At 52.1% G+C, this 20,449-nt stretch overlaps 1 non-coding gene across 11 annotated transcripts; it reads right to left on the bottom strand.

Annotated features, from left to right (window-relative positions):
- LOC124903230 (collagen alpha-1(III) chain-like) lies at nucleotides 1–17,689 on the bottom strand. Of its 11 annotated transcripts, none has more exons than XR_007063898.1 (4): nucleotides 17,045–17,689; nucleotides 12,162–12,237; nucleotides 10,996–11,187; nucleotides 1–10,875 (listed from the first exon to the last, which is right to left on the bottom strand). It is a non-coding gene; the product is annotated as a collagen alpha-1(III) chain-like (transcript). The 11 variants fall into 11 exon arrangements; XR_007063903.1 differs by having other exon boundaries at nucleotides 1–9,843; XR_007063906.1 differs by having other exon boundaries at nucleotides 17,573–17,689.
- Between the last annotated feature and the right edge of the window lie 2,760 nt (nucleotides 17,690–20,449).

Below are 20,449 nucleotides of genomic sequence, written 5' to 3'. Positions count from 1 at the left end.
CATCAGGGCCACCCAGGACGTGCGGGGGAGCTATGGGTAGGGAGTGAGCTTCCTGGGGAGCTGGAAGCCCAGTAGGGAAAGGGAGCCTCAAGCTTTGGGAAACATCAGAGTGGCAACCTTATGCAGTGGCGTGGCCTAGGAACCACAGGGAGAACAGAGGAGCATGGAGATAAAGGCGCTTAGGGAGAAGAGGCATCTTTCTGTTTCTGCCTCCAAAGAAAACAAAAAGAAGAAAGAAGAACAACAAAAAAATAGGAAAATAATTCAAGCATGGATGGGTTTGGGCGGGGCTGGGAAATGGAGGGCTCCAAGCAGTAGAGCAGAGGGTCCAGTGAAGGGAGGTGAGGTGGGAAGGGCTGGAAAGAAAGCCGGGATGGGCCCAGCCTGAATCACTGTGGCAGGGATCCTCAGGGGTTACCCAGAAAACTGCCAAAAATCTCGAGCCCATCTGTAGTGGTGAAGGGGGAATGGGGGGAAAACCTGGAGAAGCCACCAGCTGGTGGAAAGGTCCTGGGTCCCCCTCATCTTCCAAATTTCACCTGGCTCCTCCCGTTGCCAACCTCACTGGAGTCATCCAGGGGATGGGGCCTGGGGGTCCTTCCTGGATTCTCCCTCTCAACACAGGAAAGAACTTGAAACCAGGGAAATGTGGAGTGGATGCTGGACCAACCATCCAGCCCAAAAGACGCAGGAGAATGAAGACAGTCCCTGTTGCAGAGAAAGCCACCAGTCCGGGTGTCAGCTGAGCACGCTTTGCTCCGGGAACACTTTCTTGACCAACACCACACCGTGAGAGATGGCAGAACAGGGTCCTGTAAGCCTCCTGAACGTGCTGATGGTGTGGTGCTGATTAAGAGAATGTTCTCACACAAGAGAAGCAGGCCGAGGGATGCTGGGTGAAAGGCCATGGACCTGCTAAAATTCTCATAGACTGTGTTTATTTCCTGTAAAAATAAGACCAGATCTCACTGGTGACAAGTGCCATGACCAGGACTGAGTTCTTTGAGGTTGCGGGACAAAATTCTCTGTGTTCTTGCTGCTGTCGTCTCAGGGCCATTCCCACTTCCAGACGCTGCTCCGTTTCTTGATGAGTGGCCTCGCAGCTCCACGTTCCAGCAGGCGCTGGAGGGCTGAGTCTTCTTGCTCTCTAGGGGGCCCTCCCTTTGCTCTCAGCAGGTGTCTGTTTACCCCCCAGAGCAGTGTTTGATGCCAGGCCCTTGAAGTCTTCAGTGTTCTTGGCACCCTTGGGTCCCTGCACAGACGGAGCAACCCCGTGGTGGAAAATCCTTGCTGTTCCATGTCACGTGTGTTCCTCAGGCTGCAGGCCGCCGCGCACCCTCCCCACGGGCAGTGACTCCTCATTCCTGTCTGCTGGAGGAGGCTTCTGGGGGCCTCTTCTGTGGCTCAGGGACTGTACGTGGCCGGACAAGAGGAGCTTGCTCTGTCAAAGGTGGACAGCGCTTTGAATTTCAAGTGCACGACTCAAGTGCTGTTTCTGGGAGCATCTCGGGGCTTGGCCCAGGTGCCTCATGACCTCTACAGGCTCGGTCACTGCTTTTACAGAAATACTCTGAGATGCGTCTGTGCATATTAAAGAAAATCCATCAGCACCATTTTAATTTTCAGTTCCTATTAGCAGTATTGACCAGAGGGTTCCCCAGGGCAGGGAACAGATGGGGTGAGGGCAGCTCCCCTGGCTCAGCCTGTCCATTTTTTTCTGCCCTACTGGGGTTTAGATTATAGTTCAATTCCATTTTAATCCACTTCCAATTCAATTCCATTCAGTTCAAATCCGAATTCCATTCCATTCCCATCCATTTTCATTGTCTAACTCAATTTCCTTTCAGTCCAAGTCCACATTTAGTTTCTATTTTGCTTAATACAGGTTCACAGACCTTCCACTGTGCTCCAGCCTCACACAGAAATGGCCACTAGAAGAAGCAGGAGTGTGTGGGGGCGACAGGACAGGAAGTCCATCCCTGTTCCTTAATTGAGCCACCCACGTTAGCGTGACCCATGCTCAGGCCAGCACTCTTGTCTGGACCTGTTATGGTGGTTTTCCCAAGCACATGCGTGGCCACTGTCCTGTGGGTCAAAGGCATGGGTGGGCCAGTGGGAAACATGGATTAAACACATTGACTATTTTACTACAGTCCTTCCCAGAGTGTCCTGGACACTCATGGCCATTGGCAGCTTCTAAGAAAGGACAGGTGTAGCTCTGGGGCTGCAGAGGGCAGAACCTGGCAAAAAGCCAGCTGGCCACTTCTGGGCAGGTGGGCAGGGCAGAGCTGCTGTCTCCCAGCATGGAAGGAGAGTCAGTGTGTCAGGATGGCCGGGCTCTGGGGCACTTCCTGGGCTAGAACCTCAGCTTTCAGGATCCCCAAATGACCCCTCATTTCAAGGCTGCCAGGGGCACGCTGTCTGCCTCTCAGGACAAAACTGAGAAGGAATTCACCAAGTCCTGCCTGTTCAACCACGTGTAAGTGATGAGGGCTTGTGCAGACACACATCTGGTCCCTGGACTGCCACGAAAGAGGCAGAGGAGCATCTGCATCTGCAGGAGCTCTGCCAGTGCTTCCCAGCACCCTTCGAGCTGGCCTGGAAACAGAATCGGGCTCCATGGCTGCTCTCCTGGGATGCGGTGGGCAGGCCTGCCGGGATCCCACAAAGAGGTGAGCGGAGGAGCCAGCTCCCCCTGTGCTCTCTCCCCTTGGGAGATGATGGCCATACTGCCTGCAAAACCACCCAAAGTTGCATCTGGGACTCTTTGGAGCAGGAGTGGTTTGCATGAGAAATTTGAGGATGCAAACTCAACTCATCATTATTTCCGAACCAGCACGGAGGAGTTTATTATCTCATCACTCACTAATCATGCCTTATAAATGCAGGGACCGACAAAATCCCACAGAATTAATAAAGTGGTAAGTTCCCGGTCTAAATCACGGCACCTAGGATTCTTAAGTAAACCTTTTGGTAATTTACAAAGGCTGTTGAATTTTATAGTAAGTGTTTTTCAAACCAAGCTGGATTCTAAACAGTAATGACTTTTTAACGTGGCTCTGTGATTACATTGTTGTGGTGAAATATGGGGGTCTTTGACTGCATCTGAAATGAGCCTGGTGTGAATTACTCACAGGCATAGACCAGCATGCCCCCAGGTAAAGCAATCTTCATAAGTTACCCTCCAATCCAGGTGGCCTGGCAGGCGAGGCCTGATGCCAATGTTTGCAACTCAATTTTCAATGAACAATTTGTAAACAAGCTCTTCCTTTTGTTCGAGACAGTGGCCACGGCCACCACGTCTGAGTGGAGGGGCTGAGCTCCCCACAGCCTGCCACACGCCAGCTGAGACTTTGTGTGTGTCCAGGACGGTGGCTGCTCATCCACGGAGGTGCTTAGAGGGAAGTGAATGAAAGGAACTGACATTGGGCGCCAGCCACACGCACCCATGGCCCACACGGGAGCATACGAGAAGCCAAGAAAGAAGGCGTTTCCTCCTCCTAGAAAGTCCTGTGGGCCCGCAGTGGGCCAGGGCCTGTGCTCCACACAGTGAAAGCGGGTTTCCCTCAGAGACCTTCAGCCTACCCCAGGGGACTATGAGACATGGCTGGGGGACAGGGGGAGCCAAGGACACTCTTGAATCCAAAGCCACTGGGCAGACGGGTGAGCTTGGCTCAAATCCATGAACCAGGGTGTGGGCAGCGGGGCCCATAAGGCTGGGTGAAGGCTTGGGGGCTCTGGAGGCTGAGGCGATGGGGCTGGGGCCACAGCCATGGGTGGTGGTGCTTGACCATCCCTGCCCTGCGGCTCTCACTCCACAGGCTGGGGAGCCCGGGACCCTGGCCCAGGGACAGAGTGAGGCTCCTCAGCCCCAGGGGCAGCTTCAGGTCAGGGACTGGGGGGTGATTGGGGCAGTTCCCACACACCAGGGCCCCTCGCCTTGGCCCTCCCTGCTGCCCCAGCCTGGGAGCTCCAGGACAGGTCCTGCCTCGCCCCATGCCTGGGTCTTGGGGAGAGTTTGCTGAAGGCATCCATGCCCAGGGCCCTTGGGGACAAGACCAGGATTTGCACCCCCCACCCCAGGTGCCTCAGTCTGAACGGCCCTCCTAGCAAACGAGCGCACCCATCCCTGGGGCAGAGGGCCCCACTTCCTGGGGAGCAAAGTCACCTCCTCCTTATTGCTCCGGATGCTTCCATGGTAACAGATTCTTCTGTAGTAGAGTGGTAGGGCACCCCTTTCCCGACCATCTGCCTCCCGGCAGGCTGGTGGAGGGGCTGACTCCTGTCCACGTGTCTCCCGTGGGCTCCCGCCTTCCTCTGGGGACCCTGGGTGCACCAAGATGTTTTAGAAGGAGCTGCACCGGCTTGGAGGCAAGAAGGGCAGGAAGAGGCTGTGGAGGTGCCCAGGAGGAGAGGCTGTGTCTTAAGGTCTTGGGTATTTAGAAATCTGTTTTACACAGGCTCTCTTTTTGATTTTATGCAAAGGGGGGTTTCACAGCTACACACATTTATTCCAATGTTCCATCGGGGAGAGCTTTCCCAGAATCAAGCGGCTCCAAGTCCCCATGGCTCTTGAGGTGACTCCAGTGCACATTGGATGCTTCCAGGGTGCCCCAGGGTCCCTTGGGGGCTCTGTGGAGCTTCTGTTTCTGAGGGTGGAGGCCTGTGTTCATGTGAGGGTGGAGGCCTGTGTTCATCTGAGGGTGGAGGCCTGTGTTCGTCTGAGGGTGGAGGCCTGTGTTCGTCTGAGGGTGGAGACCTGTGTTCGTCTGAGGGTGGAGGCCTGTGTTTGTCTGAGGGTGGAGGCCTGTGTTTGTCTGAGGGTGGAGACCTGTGTTCATTCTCCCTAAAGGCTTACCTTCTGGTGCCACCCTGCCATTCGTGGCTGTTTCCAGAGGCAAGCTGGAAGTGGGGTGCAGCTGGGGCTGTGGAAAGCACTCCCTGCAGTGCCCTGGGGGGTCTCTATTGGAACACAGTGACTGGAGCTGGAGGGGCTGGGGGTCCAAGGGAGGCCAAGATAAAGGCTGCCTGCATCAGGGCCTTCCCCAGCACCTGTCACTGAGGCTGCTGCAGGAACCAGGCAGGGATGACCTTCAGGCCTGGGGTCCTGATTGAGAAGTGACAAAGTGCTAGCAGCCCTCGCTCACTCTCGGCAACTCCTCAGGCCATGGAGTCCACTCTGGCCACGCTTGAGGAGCCCTTCAGCCTGCCGCTGCACTGTGGGAGCCCCTCTCTGGTCTGGCTGAGGCCAGAGCCAGCTCCCTCTGCTTGCTGGGAGGTGTGGAGAAAAAGGCACAGGTGGGAACCGAGGTTGTGCACAGTGCTCGCAGGCCAGCATGAGTTCCTGGTGGGCGCGGGCTCAGCGGGCCCCACACTCCCAGCAGCCGGCTGGTGCCGCCGGCCCCAGGCAGTAAGGGGCTTAGCACCCAGACCAGCAGCTGAGGAGGGTGCGCCGGGTCCCTCAGCACTGACGGCCCACCCGCGCTGTGGTTGAATTCTCGCCGAACCTCAGCCGCCTTCCCATGCTGCAGGGCTTGGGACCTGCAGCACCCCCATGCCCAAGCAACACCGCCCCCGCCGCAACTCCTGGGCTCCCGTGTGGCCCAAGCCTCCCCCACGGGCACCGCCCCTTGTTCTATAGTGCCTGGTCCCATTGACCACCCAAGGACTGAGGAGTGCAGGCACATAGCACTGGACTGGTGGGCAGCTCCGCCTATGGCCCTGGCACGGGATCCACTAGGAGAAGCCAGCTGGGCTCCTGAGTGGGGTGGGGACTTGGAGTACTTTTATGTCTAGCCGGAGGATTGTATATGCACCAATCAGCACTCTGTGTCTAGCTTGGGGTTTGTGGATACACCAATCAGCACTCTGTATCTAGCTTATCTGGTCGGGGCTTGGAGAACTTTTACCTCTAGCTAGAGGATTGTAAATACACCAGTCAGCGCTCTGTGTCTAGCTCAGGGATTGTAAATGCACCAATCAGCACCCTGTCAAAACGGACCAATCAGCTCTCTGTAAAATGGGCCAATCAGCAAGATGTGGGTGGGGTCAGATAAAGGAATAAAAGCAGGCTGCCCTAGCCAACAGTGGCAAGCTGCTCAGATAGCCTTCCACAGTGTGGAAGCTCTGTTCTTTTGTTCTTTGCAATAAATCTTGTTGCTGCTCACTGAGTCCGTGCTGTGTCTATGAGCTGTAACACTCACTGCAAGGTCTGCAGCTTCACTCTTGAGGCTAGCCAGACCAGCAATCCACCAACGGAAAAAGCTCCAAATGCATCCTAATGTCAGAAGGAACAAACTCTGGACACACCGTCTTTAAGAATTGTAACACTTACTGGGAGGGTCTGCGGCTTTGTTTTTGAAGTCAGTGAGACCAAGAACCCACCAATTTCAGACACATGATGACTTAGTTTTCGCCGTGATCCTGCTATCTGAGGGCTGAGGTTCTGCCTGGATAGCTGCCCCAAGAGGAGACCGGGCAAACCCTGGTTCCTGGGGTGGTCTCCTGCCTCCTGTCAGCAAGATTCCCCTCTGCCTGCGGCCGGGATGCTGGTTGCCCAAGGGAGGCCTCAGCAGCCTGTTTCATAGCTGAGGATGCTGAGGCCTGGAGAACAGGGATGCCCACTGGAGTCCCCAAAGCTGGTGAGAAGCAGGCGTGAGGGTGGGGCCCTATGGGTCAGATGCTGTCGGCCTGGTGGTATGGCTGCTGGAGGAGGGGGAGCTGGTTCGGGGAGGGGTCCAGGAGCCATTCTACTGGGGTAGTTGCAGTGCCCACAGCTCAGCTCTTGGCACTGGCTCTGTTACGTGCCGTGGGCAGGCATCGCCTCCTTCCATCCTAAAACCCTTTAGGTACTCAGTATCTTATTCCTATTTTGTTGATAGGGAAACTGAGTCAGGGTCGCCATCACTGGGCTGGCCAGATGAACTTGGGTCCAGGCCCAGGCGGACCTGCTTTGTGGGTGTGGCCTGGTCCCCACTGCCAGGCCAGCACCCAGCTACCGATCGTGACCAGGCCCACGGCCTCGATGTGTACACACAGGAGCTGGGTTCCTAGCGGCCGCTTGACTTCACAGGATTGCTGAGAAAATCAGACAGGTTAATGAATGACGGTTGGACCCTAGTAAGGAGTTGTTAGTAAGTTCCTTTCTGATATTTAACCAAAGCATTTGTTTGCAGCCCTGGGACTGTTTTCAAGAGGAAAAAGGCCCCGCAAAGAAGCAAGCAGAGTCTCTTTAATGTCCCTTCCTAAATTAAAAAAAAAAAAAACAGGTAGAAGTCAGGAGTAAAATTGCCTCTCATGAAGACACCACGGAGAACTGATGTAATTTCCATAATGCAGGACAACAATGAGCGCACAGCCTCATGGGAGAATAAATCCAGCCACTTTAAGGGAAGAAGGGAGGCGCTAAGTATATCACATCAAAAACTAACTTATGAACTTCAAATCTATGCACCAATTCAAAATCTGATTTAACAAACTGCTCTTACTAAAGTCAATTGGCGAGCATACCATTATAAAAACAAATGAAATCTTCCCCGTCTACTAGATAATTTTCTCCCCACACCTAAGCGGGAGGCATTAGCTTAACGAGTAACCATCTAAATTATGTATTAAACTCAATTACTTTGTATTACTGCTTTCCAATTAGGGTTCCCTGATTGACTCACGTGGCATGGAGACTCCTCCCGGGGAGTCCCCGATCCTCCTGGCCCCTGGATCTGGCTCTGCAGATGCCATTTGCCCCCAGCTTGAGTGTGTCTCTCCCTCGCTCTAAGAGAGTGAGGTGTGGCTTCTGATGGAGAGTGAACACGGACGGCGGCATGATCAGCTAAATCACCATCTCAATCTGCCAGAGCCACTCCTGGCGGCCACTTCTGAGGGTGCAGCATCTCCCGGCACTCTAGAGAGACCTCCTGAAATCACCAGCATCGCCAGGGCAGCTCTGCTGAGCCTGTGGCCTCTGCAGGTGCAAGCAGTGTGTTGCTGCTATGATGAGTGTCTACCTGTCCTCAGAGGTGTCAGTCCCCCAGCTCCTGCCCTGTGCTGGCCATGCCTCCGTCAACATTGCACCACGGTGAACTCCCCTATGTAATCAAGAGCTTTCCTTTTAAGTAACCAGACTCTCTGAGAAGGGCTGTGTTCCTGGGCATATTTCTCAAACAGCAGGGACAAACTCCTTTTAAAATGAAAAAACGTGTAGACTCCCAAGTGCAAAAATGCTACTTGTGAGGGGTCACTGCGCAGTGATCGCAGAGGCCAGCTTGCCCTGCAGAGCCCGCCGTGGCCTTTATGGAAGCCGGGGAGCTGTGGGAACCCCATTCCCCGGAGTCGCCGTGCACCGTGAGCTGCTCTGAGCAACACGGCGGGAGCTGGAGGATGGGGCCAGAAGGGGCTCGATGATGAAAGCACACGGGGAGGGAGGAATGACTGGGCAGCCTGCTGCAGGTGGCAGACACCTGGGAACACGTAGCACAGGTGGGTGGGGAAACTAGGAGCACCAGGTCGGGGATCTGGGTGAGAAAGTAGCTCTGAAACAGCGACGTGAGGGAGGCGAGGGGTCGGTCATTCTGAGATTAGAAGAAGGGGTCCCAGCAGGGCAAGCCACCAGGGCAAAGGTTCTAAGCCCCCATCTCAGGGTGGGGGTAGCAGCAGGTGGGGACAGACACCTTCAGGCTGGGCTTCAAGAGAGGCCTCAGAGCTGGCACCAGAGGCTCCCTCTGCCCCCCTCTCTGGCTGCAGGAAGAATAAAAGCCTGGAAAGAGGGCCTGGCCGAGTTACACAGAGGAGCCCCCTCAGCCAAAAAGAGCCAGGGGATCCAGAAGCTGGAGAGCTGCTCAGGAGTTGGGGACACTACAGGCAAGGTCCCTGCTTGTTCCTGAGTCTTGGCTTGGATGTGGCTTAGCATCGAACTTTCATGTTCACCCAGGCTTCTCTGAGTGACCCTGACAGGGATCAAAGGCCCAGCGGCCCACACATCACCCTTGACTGGCACGAGGTGGTGGTGGGGCCTCTCAGGGTACCAGGAAAGGGGGCTGGGCTTGAGCTGCCAGGTAGGGGACCCCTGTGGGGCTTGGGGTGGGTGGGGCAGGGGTGGAGCTGGCTGGGCCTCACAGGCCCGGGAGCCTAGGAGACAGCTTCAGTGCCTTCCCTGGGGATCCCCAGACCAGGCACTCCGAGAAGCCGGCTCTGCACCATGACAGCCATTGCTGCCACCCCACGTAGGTCCCAGAACGAGCCCTGCCAGCCCACCCCAGAGGCCGAGGGACAGGTAGGTGAGCTGCAGAAGGGACCCGAGGGCACTGAGACAGAGGCTTAAAAGGCCAAATCTAGCTTTAAGTCGTGGAGTCAAGCAGCCGACCGTCCCGACACGTGGCCACAATGGCATCCAGAGAGCGGTCCCCCCAGCAGTGTCATTCGGGTAGTAATGCGGGAAGGCCCCGTCCGGTTCGTGTTCAGGGCCCGGAAGGCCTCCGTGATTTGGCGGCACAAGCCTGGGGCTGTGGCACTGTCGGAGGACCTGCCTGGCCTCTTCATGCCAATGAGGTTCTCATGTAACCCCCAACATAACCCGCAGGGCCAGATTGACCTTCTCACCTAACCGGAGACGGAAAAGAACCAAGAGGCTGTCAGGAATAAGGCATTTCTCCGGGCAATCAGGTGTGCAGGGGCTGAGCTGGGATTCCAATTCTGGGTTACAGTGGGCTCCAGGTTCCGCAGCAGTTTCAGGGGCGACATTACCGAGGTCCTCGTGGGCGGGAGAAGGAAGTGCGATGGGGCACGTCAAGGACGAGGTGCCAGCTGGTCATTGAAGGATGGTGGGGCTCCATTCAGCAGAGGTGGGGGCTGTGATGGGGGTGGATGGGTGTGTGAGGTGATTGGGTTTGTGTGTGATGAGTGTGTGTGTGTGTGGTGCATGGTGTCTGTGTGATGGCCCAGTGTGTGTGGCTCTGTGTGCAGGTGTATGCGTGATGAGGTGTGTGTGTGTGGTGTGTGTGCGTGTGATGGTTGAGTGTATATATGGTGTGGTGTGTGTGGTGTCTGGGATGTGTGTGTGATGACTGTGTGTGGTGTGCGTGTGACGAGTGTGCATAATGAGCATGTGTGTGGTGTGTGTGATGTCTGTGATCGTGTGTGATGTGTGTGTGAGTGTGATGAGTGTGCATGGTGTGTGTGTGATGAGCATGTGTGTGCCGTGTGTGATGAATGTGTGTATGGTGTATGTGATGAATGTGTGTGATGAGTGTGTGGTGTGCATGTGATGAGTGTGTGAACATGTGTGTAGTGTTTGATGAATGTGTGTGATGAGCATGAGTGATGAGTATATGTGTGGTGTGTGTGATGAGTTTGTATGACTGTGTGTGTGGTGTGTGATGAGCGTGTGTCTGTGATCAGTGTGTGATGAGCGTGTGTGATGAGTGTGTGTGCTGTGTGTGATATGTGTGTGATGAGCATGTGTGTGGTGCATGTGTGTGATGAGTGTGTTATGAGCATGTGATGCATGTGTGATGAGCATGTGTGTGATGAGTGTGTGTGATGAGTGCGTATGGTGTGTGTGATGAGAATGTGTGTGATGAGCATGTGTGTGGTGTATGTGTGTAATGAATGTGTGTGATGAGTATTATGAGCGTGTGGTGTGTGATGAGTGTGTGATGAGCATGTGTGTGACGAGTGTGTGTGGTGTGTGTAAAATGTGTGTGATGAGTGTGTGGTGTGTGTGATGAGCGTGTGTGATGAGTGTGTGGTTGTGTGATGAGTGTGTGTGTGATGAGTGTGTGTGTGGTGTGTGTGGGGAGCGGGGATGGGTGCAGGTGGAGGTGGGTGTGCTCACCAGCCGTGTTCTGAGGCTCGTCCTGGTCCCAGGCCCCAGTGCTGTACCTGGCACAAGAGGTGGGAAGGACCATTGCTCCCCCCAGTAGCCAGAGCGGTGTCCGGCTTTGTCTCTCCCTTCACCACTGAGTAGCCCCAGCCATGTGATGTCATCTCCCCAGGCCTCACCCGCTTTTCTGCTCCTCTCCGTGTACTGTGGGATCGGCACAGGGACTCCATCTGGCGACCCAGTGGCCCCTCTGACCATGCTTGCCTGCTGGAGAATCCTCCTCGCATCCTCCGAGCCAGGCTCCAGGGACAGCGTGGCTCACAGGGCTGGTGTGCTGAACAAGGGCTGAGCTTGGCCGAGCACTGCAGGAGCTAGGACGGGGGTAGTGGCCCTTGAGCCCTCTAGAGTGCCTGGCCCTATGCTGGAATCTGAGGGGCCACAGGCAGAGAGAGAAACTGGCCTCAGCCTCTGAGACTGAGGAGCCCTAGTTCAAGTGTGTGGGCCAGGCAGGAGAGAGCCCTGAAGTTGGAGCAGTCAAGGAAAGCTGCCTGGAGGAGGAGGCCTTGGAGTCACAGCTCAATGGCACCTGAGAAGGACGGCCAGGGCCTCCACCCGGGGCCTGCATCCCTCTCCATCAGCACACCTCGGGGGAATGGCCTCGAGCTTCCATGCCAATGACATACGGCGGGAAAGCGCTGTCCCCACAGTGGGCACGGAAAACCACTGGTCCTCACCCTGTCTCGCATAATCCCTGAAGTTTGCTTTTTGTTTGATTGATGAATTCCTTTGATGTTCAAGAAAGAAATTAATTTTACTTATTCCTCAAGTGGTCATTAGAAAAACTTTTAATGAATACAGTAAAAACCAACTAATTATTGCAATGGCATTTTACTCTAAGTAAAATTGACAGGAACCAAGATGATGGTGCCTATAATTCTCCTCAGTTTATTAAAACCCATTTATCACATTTTATCCTAGAGGAAACTGATCATACCAGTCTGTGAATTTTCAACTAATATTTCCTCACTGCATCTAATATGTAAGAAGCATTTACTGATATTAAAGTCATAATGCATTATATGGAGATGAACTTGCATTCTAATTACTGTTCTTGGTGAGGAATGGGGAAGAGAATGATTCTGTTCTGCACACTCCAGATGAAGCCAATGCATGCTTAATGTGAGGCCTCTAACTAGAGAAAATTCCCTTCTCGGTTAAGCACAGTTGATCACCTACCAACACAGGCACGACACGGTCATTTTTCCTTGTGAAATGTGTGCTGGGGGCCTTGGTGTTGGAGCCCTCCCCCTACCCTAAGGGTGATGCCCGTGCTTCAGAAACTCACCATGTCCATCCATTCCCTGGATGACCGCTGTGAACCCACACGGCCCAGGTGCCTCCAGAAGCCTGGCAGACAATTCCTAAGTATGAAAGAAAGTGTTTGTTTCTGCTTTTTGTTAAAAGTCAGAAGTCACATTCTTCCAAAAACCATACTTGAAAATTTAGCTTTTTATTATACATCTTGCTCTGAGAGTTTTTTATTGCTCCAGATCATGAAATGTCACAGGGCTCAGAGGATGGGACATCTGATTCACTTCCTAAATATGAGTTGATTCTGTTGAGTTTTGCCACCAACAGCTCCCACATGCTTGCACCCGTACCTACATGTTCATGCAGAGACCCACCCAGCTTCTGCTCACAGACACACCTCACCTCCCACACCATCTTCCCTGCTTGTGATGTTTAATTTTAGGTGTCAACTTGACTGCATTAAGGGTTGCCTAGATAGCTGATAAAACATCATTTCTGCATGTGTCTATGAGGGTGTCTCTGGAAGAGATTAACATTTGAGTCAGTAGACTGAGTACAGACCTGCCCTCCTCAAAGTGAGCAAGCATCACTTAATCCATGGAGGGCTTGAATAGAACAAAAGGCTGAGGAAGGGTGAATTCACTTTCTTCTTTAGCTGGGACATCCATCTTCTCCTGCCCTTGAACATTGGTGCTTCTGGTTCTCTAGTCTTTGCACTCAGATGGAATAACACCATTGACTTTCCTGGGTCTCTAGCTGGCAGATGGCAGACTGTGGGACTTCTTGTCCTCCGTAACTACATAACTCCTATAATAAATCTCTCTCTCTCTCTCTATATATATATATGTATATATATTTATATATATTCATATTCTATTGATTCTGTTTCTTTGTAGAACTCTAATATAGATTTTGGTACCAAGAGTGGATCTAGAGGACCAGAATTTTGAGGATGAGTTTTCTGAATTCTTCCTGGAGTTTCTGGAATTGGATCTTTAATCAGACTATATGTAAAGACACTAATGATTCTACTTCCAGTAGTAAAGAGAGCACTGATCACCCATGGCATAAACTATAGAGATATGCAAACTATCTGCATTGGATCCTCCTAATAAACCACTTATAAGAAGCAAGGAGCTACATGACTCTGTATATGATACTTTTGAACATTTTAGGAAAACTGAGGAATATAATGACATTTGTTGCTTCTAATGTCATTGCACAAAGTGGTAAAAGAAAAAGATGAGCTCAGGGATTCAAATTCCCAGCTCAAGAGCCACAAAAGTGACCTAAGAGTTTCTATGTGTGCCCCAAGAGCCTTATTTCATACAAGCACAGGGCTGAAGTTTCTGAAAATCAAACTCAGGATCTCATCCAGCAATTGGCCAAATTATTAATTCAATGCAAGTTGAGCTCCCAGTCTCCTAGGATGTCTACTCTTAAGTGGGGAAATGGATTGGGAAAGAATGGGATACTGTAAGTTGGAATGGGGACATGTGGGAAGACCCTGATGAAGCTGGGGGTATCGAGCTCCTAAATTCTGATGTATTCTTTGCCAGTGGAAGAGGTCCCCCCAACCCTCAAACAAAGTGGCCTTCACATCCCCAGTGGCAGCAGCATCCCTGCCAATACTGGTATAGCCTTTCCACCTGATTTGTGGGAGTCCCCCGCATCCTGAGTCATATCTTCCTCTGAGGTGGTGGCAAAGTGGGACAATGCTGATTCTTTTCAGGACCCAGCCTCACCACCCCACTTTGCCTCTAGACCTATAACTAGACCCAAACCCCAGAAGGCCCCTGAAGGTGAGGGACAAATTGTGACCCACAAGAAGGTATGTTGCACTCCAAAAGAACAACATGGGTTTCTAATTTATACAAGTGGAAATCCAGGGAACACAGGTGAGAATGAATATTAAGGATGTGAGATGGTAGTGGAAGGAACATAAAGTTGGATCAGGCCAAATTTATTGATATGGGCTCAGTAAGCAGATATTGTGGATTTAAAGTTGCAGCTCAGTGAGTTAGAAAGGGCGAAGTTTGGTTGGATGGCTGAACAGGGGTCAAAAGATAGTCTGCCCTGCTGTGAGCAAACTGGAAAGATCCAATCTCCCCAAGTTTAATGTAGAGGGAGCTTAAAGGGCTAGGGAGGCTGATGTGTTAGAGTGGGTTTGTCATTTCAGACCTACTCACCCACGCTGGGGGGTCTGGAAGACAGCCTTTCACTAACACCTTGAGAAAGAACTGTGTGAGGGGGCCCCAGCTTCCTTGAAGAGCTCTGCCATAACTCTTCTCTGTAGGTCAGACCTTACGGTGGGAACCACAGCCACTCAGCTGGAAACCTAAGTGCAAGGGAAGCAACTGGATCCAGCTGTCAGGGCCACAGCGAGGTGGGTGCGGGTATAGCAATGGGCAGGAGTGGCACAGCAGCAATCAGAACAGCCTGGCTCATGAGACTCATGGCTCTGGCCCGTTATCATGGGGCTCCTGGAAGGGGATTTGATTAGAAGCCGTGATCTGTATAAGCAGAAAAGTTTTAGATCAAGTGAATAAAAGTCTAAGTCGAATCTGGGCATAGCAGCACATGCCTGTGGTCCCAGTGACTCAGGAGGTTGAGGCAGGGGGATCTGTTGAGCCTGGGAATTTGAGGCTGCAGTGAGCTATGATCACATTACTGCACTCTAGCCTGGGTGATATAATGAGACCCAGTCTCTAAAACAGAAGTCAAATTCAAATCATAAAATCATTCTCTCAAAGCAGAGAGTTACAGCCCCTCAATTCTCAGACCTGAGCCAATTTACAGACTTGGAACTCGTGAATGAAGGGACAACAATGTCGCCTTGGAAAACAACCCTGGTACACTACCCGAAATGTATACTCTTAATCTTTTCCCCAGCCTCCTCCAAAGGGACCTACCTTACCTTTTCAGGGACTCAGACCTTTCAGGGACTACTGGACACTGGATCTGCACTGACATTGATTCCAGAAGATTGAAAAGGTCACTGTGGCCACCCAGGCAGAGTAGGGGCTTATGGAGCTCAATGATCAATGGAGTTTTAGCTCAGGTTCATTTTACAGTGGGTCAAGTGGGTCCCCAAACCCATCCTGTAGTTATTTCCCCATTCCAGAATGCATAATTGGAAGAGGCATACTGAGGAGCTGGTAGCATCTACACACTGGGTACCTGACCTGTGGAGTAAGGACTATTACAGTGAAGAAGACCAAGCAGAAGCCACTAGAACTGCTTTAGCCTGGGAAAATAATGCAGTAGCCCCCCTTTATCTGCAGGGGATGTGTTCTGAGACCCCAGTGGATGCCTGAAACTATGGACATATAAACCACCAAAGCCTAGCTATACTATGTTTTTTCTGATACATACATACTGATGATAAAGTTTAATTTATAAATTTGGCACAGTAGACTATCAACAATAATAAAATCAAACAATTAGAAGAATATACTGCAATAAAAGCTATGCGAATGTGATTTCTCTCTCTCAAAATATCTTGTACTGTGCAACAGGTAACTTAAAATGTGGAAAGTGAAACCAGGGATAAGGGGTGACTACTGTAAGTCAAAAACAATGCCACATTCCTGGAAGGACTGTGGAGATTCATGCCACCCTCAGGAACTTGAAAGATGTAGGGCTGGCGATTCCTACCCCATTCCCATTTGACTCTCCTATTTGGCCTGTAGGGAACACAGATAGATCTTGAAGAATGACTGAAATATCATAAGCTTAACCAGGTGGTAACTCCAATTTCAGCTGCTGTACCAGATGTCGTTTCATTGCTTGAGCAAATTAACACATCTTCTGTTACCTGGTACACAGCTATTGATCTAGCAAATACCTTTTGTCCATCCCTGTCCAGAAGGCTGACCAGAAGCAGTTTTCTTTCAGCTGGCAAGGCCAGCAATACGCATTCACTGTCCCACCTCAGGGAGTGTCCCATCAATTCTCCAGCCCTACATTATAATTTAGTCTGCAGGAATCTTGGTTGCTTTTCCCTTCCATGAGATGTCACACTGGTGCATTACATTGATGACATCATGCTGATTGGACTTAGTGAGCAAGAAGTAGCAACTATTCTACATTTATCGGTGAGACGTCTATGTGTCAGAGGGTGGTGTCAGAGGGTGTTATCTGACCCAACAAGCCATACAGTTAGGTGTGCACAGCAACACTCTGTCATCGAATGGAAGTGGTATGTATGTGATTAGGCCCAATCAGCCCCTGAATGCTCAAGTAGGTTACATGAAGCAGTGGCCCAAGTGCCCATGGTCCCCACTCCTGCCCCACCGCCTTTCTCAGCTGAGACCCTCTCTCCCAGCCTGAGCCTGTGACCTCCTGGGGAGGTCCCCATGATATCTGACAGAGGAAGAGATGACTCAGGCCTGGTTTACAGACGGCTCTGCCCCATATGCAGGCACCACCTGAAAGTGGATGCTGCAGAACTACAGCCCCTTCCTGGGACGTCCCTGAAAGACAGTGGGGAAGGGAAGTCCTCCTGGGCAGAGCTGCAGGCAGTGCACCTGGCTGTGCACTTTGCTTAGAAGGAGCAGTGGCCAGTTGTGCAGTGATGGACTATTTCGCCAGCTGTGCTCAATGTTTATGCTGGATGGTCAGAGACATGGAAAGAACGATTGGAAAAATTGGTGGTGAAGATATTTGGGGAAAAGATATGTGAATAGGCCTCGCGAATGGGCAAAAATCATGAAGATATGTCTGTCCTATGTGAATGGTCAGCAATGAATGACCACAGCAGAGGGTTTTAGTAAACAAGTGGACAGGATGACACCAGTCAGGCTCTTGCCTAAGCCACTGCCCACAAGGCTCCCTTATGGACCAAGGCTCCGGCACCCACGCACTGTCGGGGTAGGGTAGTTTGTGCAGCTGTAACAATGCATCTGAGACTCTAACCTGCGGAAACCAAGCGCGGTCTACTTCCCTCTCACGGCAGGGCAGGCGGGGCTGCTGCGCGGGTCTCAGGCCCAGGCCCGCGGGCCGCCGGCTGTGGATGCCGCCCTGGCAGCCTGGGCTCGGGGTGGCCTTGGCGGCAGGAGCTTGGCTATCCGCACACCGCGCTCCGCAGCTCGTCCTCCGTGCGGGTGGCTCAGGAGCCTGGAGGGCCGTGGTAGCCCCGAGCGATGGCTGCTGAGTCTCCGGGCTCCAGGGCGCCCAGGCGTGCGCCGTGACCCCGCCAGCTGTGCCACGGAGCCCCCTCGCTGTTGTCCGCGTTGCTCAGCCTGTAGGCCGAAGGCCCTGGACTCACTCGCCCTGGAGATGCGCCGAGTCCCCCGCAACCCCGGTGCACCTGCCGTCGGGGCAGCCGGGCTCAAGGACCCAGGCCGCAGCTCCCACCCACGCTCGCTCACTGCTCCGGCCCGAGGCGCTGCGGGACCCCAGACCCAGCGAGGAGGGCGCCGCCTCCCCCCTGCACACCCGCACCTTTGCCGCCTCGAACTCGGCCCATCCTCGGCAACGGAGCACCCCAGCGCAGCCTCGCTAACTCCACTCCTTGAGGGAGGGACAGCCGTCCCCGCCCGCCGCCCATAGCCTTGTCTCTCCCGGCTCCTCCCAACGCTCCTCTTCACGAGGACGGGACAGCCGCACAGCCCAGCCCTCCCTGTCCCACCGCCTTTCCAACCACGCCCTGCTCCTCCCCTTCCCTCCGCAGCTCCTCGGATCCCCGGGCTCCCCCGCGCGGCTGAGCGGCTTCCAAGGCCACGCCGGCCTCCTGTGGCACCCCCACCCCTACCCCCACCCCCACCCCCACCCCCGCCCGTCCTAACCACTGCCTCCCACCACCCGCCCCGCCCCGGCCCAGGCCCTTCCTGGAAGCCTGGGCCTTCCTTGACCTTTTCCTCACCCCACACTCTCTTGGGTTTCTCAGTCCCTCTCGCCAATACTTCCTGTTCACTGGCTACAAGCTCTGCGTGGGCCGGTCGTGGGCCGCTCCCCAGGACCGCCGTGGGCCTCACCCCTCTCCCGTCCCTAAGACATCGCCTGGTCTAGCGCGGTCTCTCTTCTCACCTCACCGCACCGCACCTTCCTCTTGCGCTCCAGACCACGTCTAGCTGCCTATTCTAATTTCATTTTGCTGTTCAGGCATTTGTTTAAATTATGGCAGGAGCACATGACCTCGGGCATGGGGGCGCCAAGCATGCCGGAGTATCTAGACACAAAGCAGGGCTGGCTGCATCTCCAACCCCGCCCCACCGTCTGGACTGCTTTCTTTACATGGATCTACACACTGTGTGTACATACGAAATAAAATATACAGTTTTTTTCTAGCGATGCTGCTTTTTCACAAATGGAATCATACATATTTCATGCGTCGTCTGCAACTTGCTTTTTACATATAACACCATGTCCCGGGAGCTTTCCACGTTGGCCCACTTAGCTCGATCTCATTTTCTTTGATGGCTGCAGAGGCCTCTGCCCTGTGGGGCGATGCTGCTGTGTAACAAGATCTCTGCCGGCGAAGAGTTAAGGTGCTTCTCTTTCCTTCCCCTTCTAATTCTTTTTTTTTTTTTTTTCTATTACCAAAATGACTGCAGCTAGCATGGATGCGCATGATTCCCCTGTGTTCAGGCAGGCGTCCCTATCCACAGCAGAGGCCTCAAACAGGCTTTCTCTGCTGGCTTGTGCTGGACGTTTCCATATTGTTTTCTGAGAAGGTTGTAAAAATTATTCACCACCAGCCGCGCAGCCAAATACTTTTTACACCTTTATCATCGCTAGAAAGGTTAATCCTTGTCTTTCACCCCCAATTTTATGAGTGAAAAACAATAGCTCATGATTACCCTCATCAACATCTTTGATTTTCAGTGAAATCAAGGATTCTTTAGATTTGTGTTTGTAGATCTCTAGATATCTTTCTTTAATCCACAGAATTTACGTGTTTTTGTGACTTGGAAATCTGTGTTGATTCTGTCCCCTGGCAGCCTGTTTTCCAGACGGTCCATCGTCCACCCTGCTCTTTCCGCGGGACATGCCCTTCCCAGCGTACCTCACCGCATGGAGATACATCCGTTTCTTTCTGGGATCTCTAACTTGAACCTTGTCTGCAAAACCAATTTTCTTTTTTTTTTCCCCCTCAGGAAACCATGTTTACTAAGCATGTTCTTTTCCAGGTGAATTTCAGTCAGTGTGTCAAATTCCGTGAAAGATGCAATTACAGTTTGGGATTCCACTGCACAGGGCGCATCTCGATCACTTTGGGAGACCGTTGACATCTTTACAATGTTAATTTCCTCATTCAAGAAGAGAATGTTTTTCCATTTACTCAGAAAGTTTATTTTGTGCCTGCCAATAAAGGTTTGGTTTTCCTCTCACAAGTTTTGTGTGCATTTTTGTTTCTTCCAACCTCTGCCCCCAGATATTTCACAGTTTTTCTAGCTATTGTAAATAGGACAGCTTCTTTCAAATGGTTATTTCTTGTGTATATAGAAAGACATGGATTTTTATATGTTGGCCTCATCTCTGACTATATTACTGAATTCTCTTATTCATTTTTTACTGTTTTTTTTTTCTTGGATTTGCTAGATATGATTAGCTTGTCAGCAAACAACAGCAGGTTTTGCCTCTTTGCAGTATTTATAGCTTTTATTTATTTATTTATTTTTTTGGAGACAGGCTTTTGCTCTGTCACCCAGGCTATAGTGCGGTGGCACTAATGTGGCTCACTGCAGCCTCAAACTCGGGGCTCAAGTGAACCTCCCCCTTCAGCTTCTAGTGTAGCTGGAACCACAGGTGTGCACTGCCATGCCAGGCTAATTTTCTTATTTTTTTGTAGAGAAGGCGTCTTGGTCTTGCTTTGTTGCCTAGGCTGGTCTTGATCTCCTGGACTCAAGTAAGCCTCCCACCTCAGCCTCCCAAAGTGCTGGGATTACAGGTATCAGCTACCATGCCTGGCTCTTATATCTCTTAAAAATCATCTTGAGTTGACTTGGCCTCCCATGTGGAATACAGCATGAGTGTTGATGTCCTCATCTTGTCCCAGATTGTAATGGGTGCCTCAGGTGCTTTACCAAGCATGAAGTTTTCTCTGTTCCCACCTCCAGAGGAATTCTCATCCTGCATGGAGGTAGGATTTTTAACAAGTGTTACCTTGGCTGCATGTTAATTGAGCCCATGTTTTTTTTTTAATTAAAAAAATTTTTTTTATTATACTTTAAGTTCTGGGATACATGTGCAAAATGTACAGGTTTGTTACATAGGTATACACGTGCCATGGTGGTTTGCTGCACCCATCAACCCGTCATCTACATTAGGTATTTCTCCTAATGCTATCCCTCCCCTTCCCCTCCACCCCGACAGGCC

Source organism: Homo sapiens, chromosome 13, assembly GCF_000001405.40.
Source record: "Homo sapiens chromosome 13, GRCh38.p14 Primary Assembly".
In the NCBI taxonomy this organism is placed as follows: Eukaryota; Metazoa; Chordata; class Mammalia; order Primates; family Hominidae; genus Homo; species Homo sapiens.
Note: the sequence above shows the minus strand (reverse complement) of the source record. Positions and strands in the feature narration are given on the sequence as shown.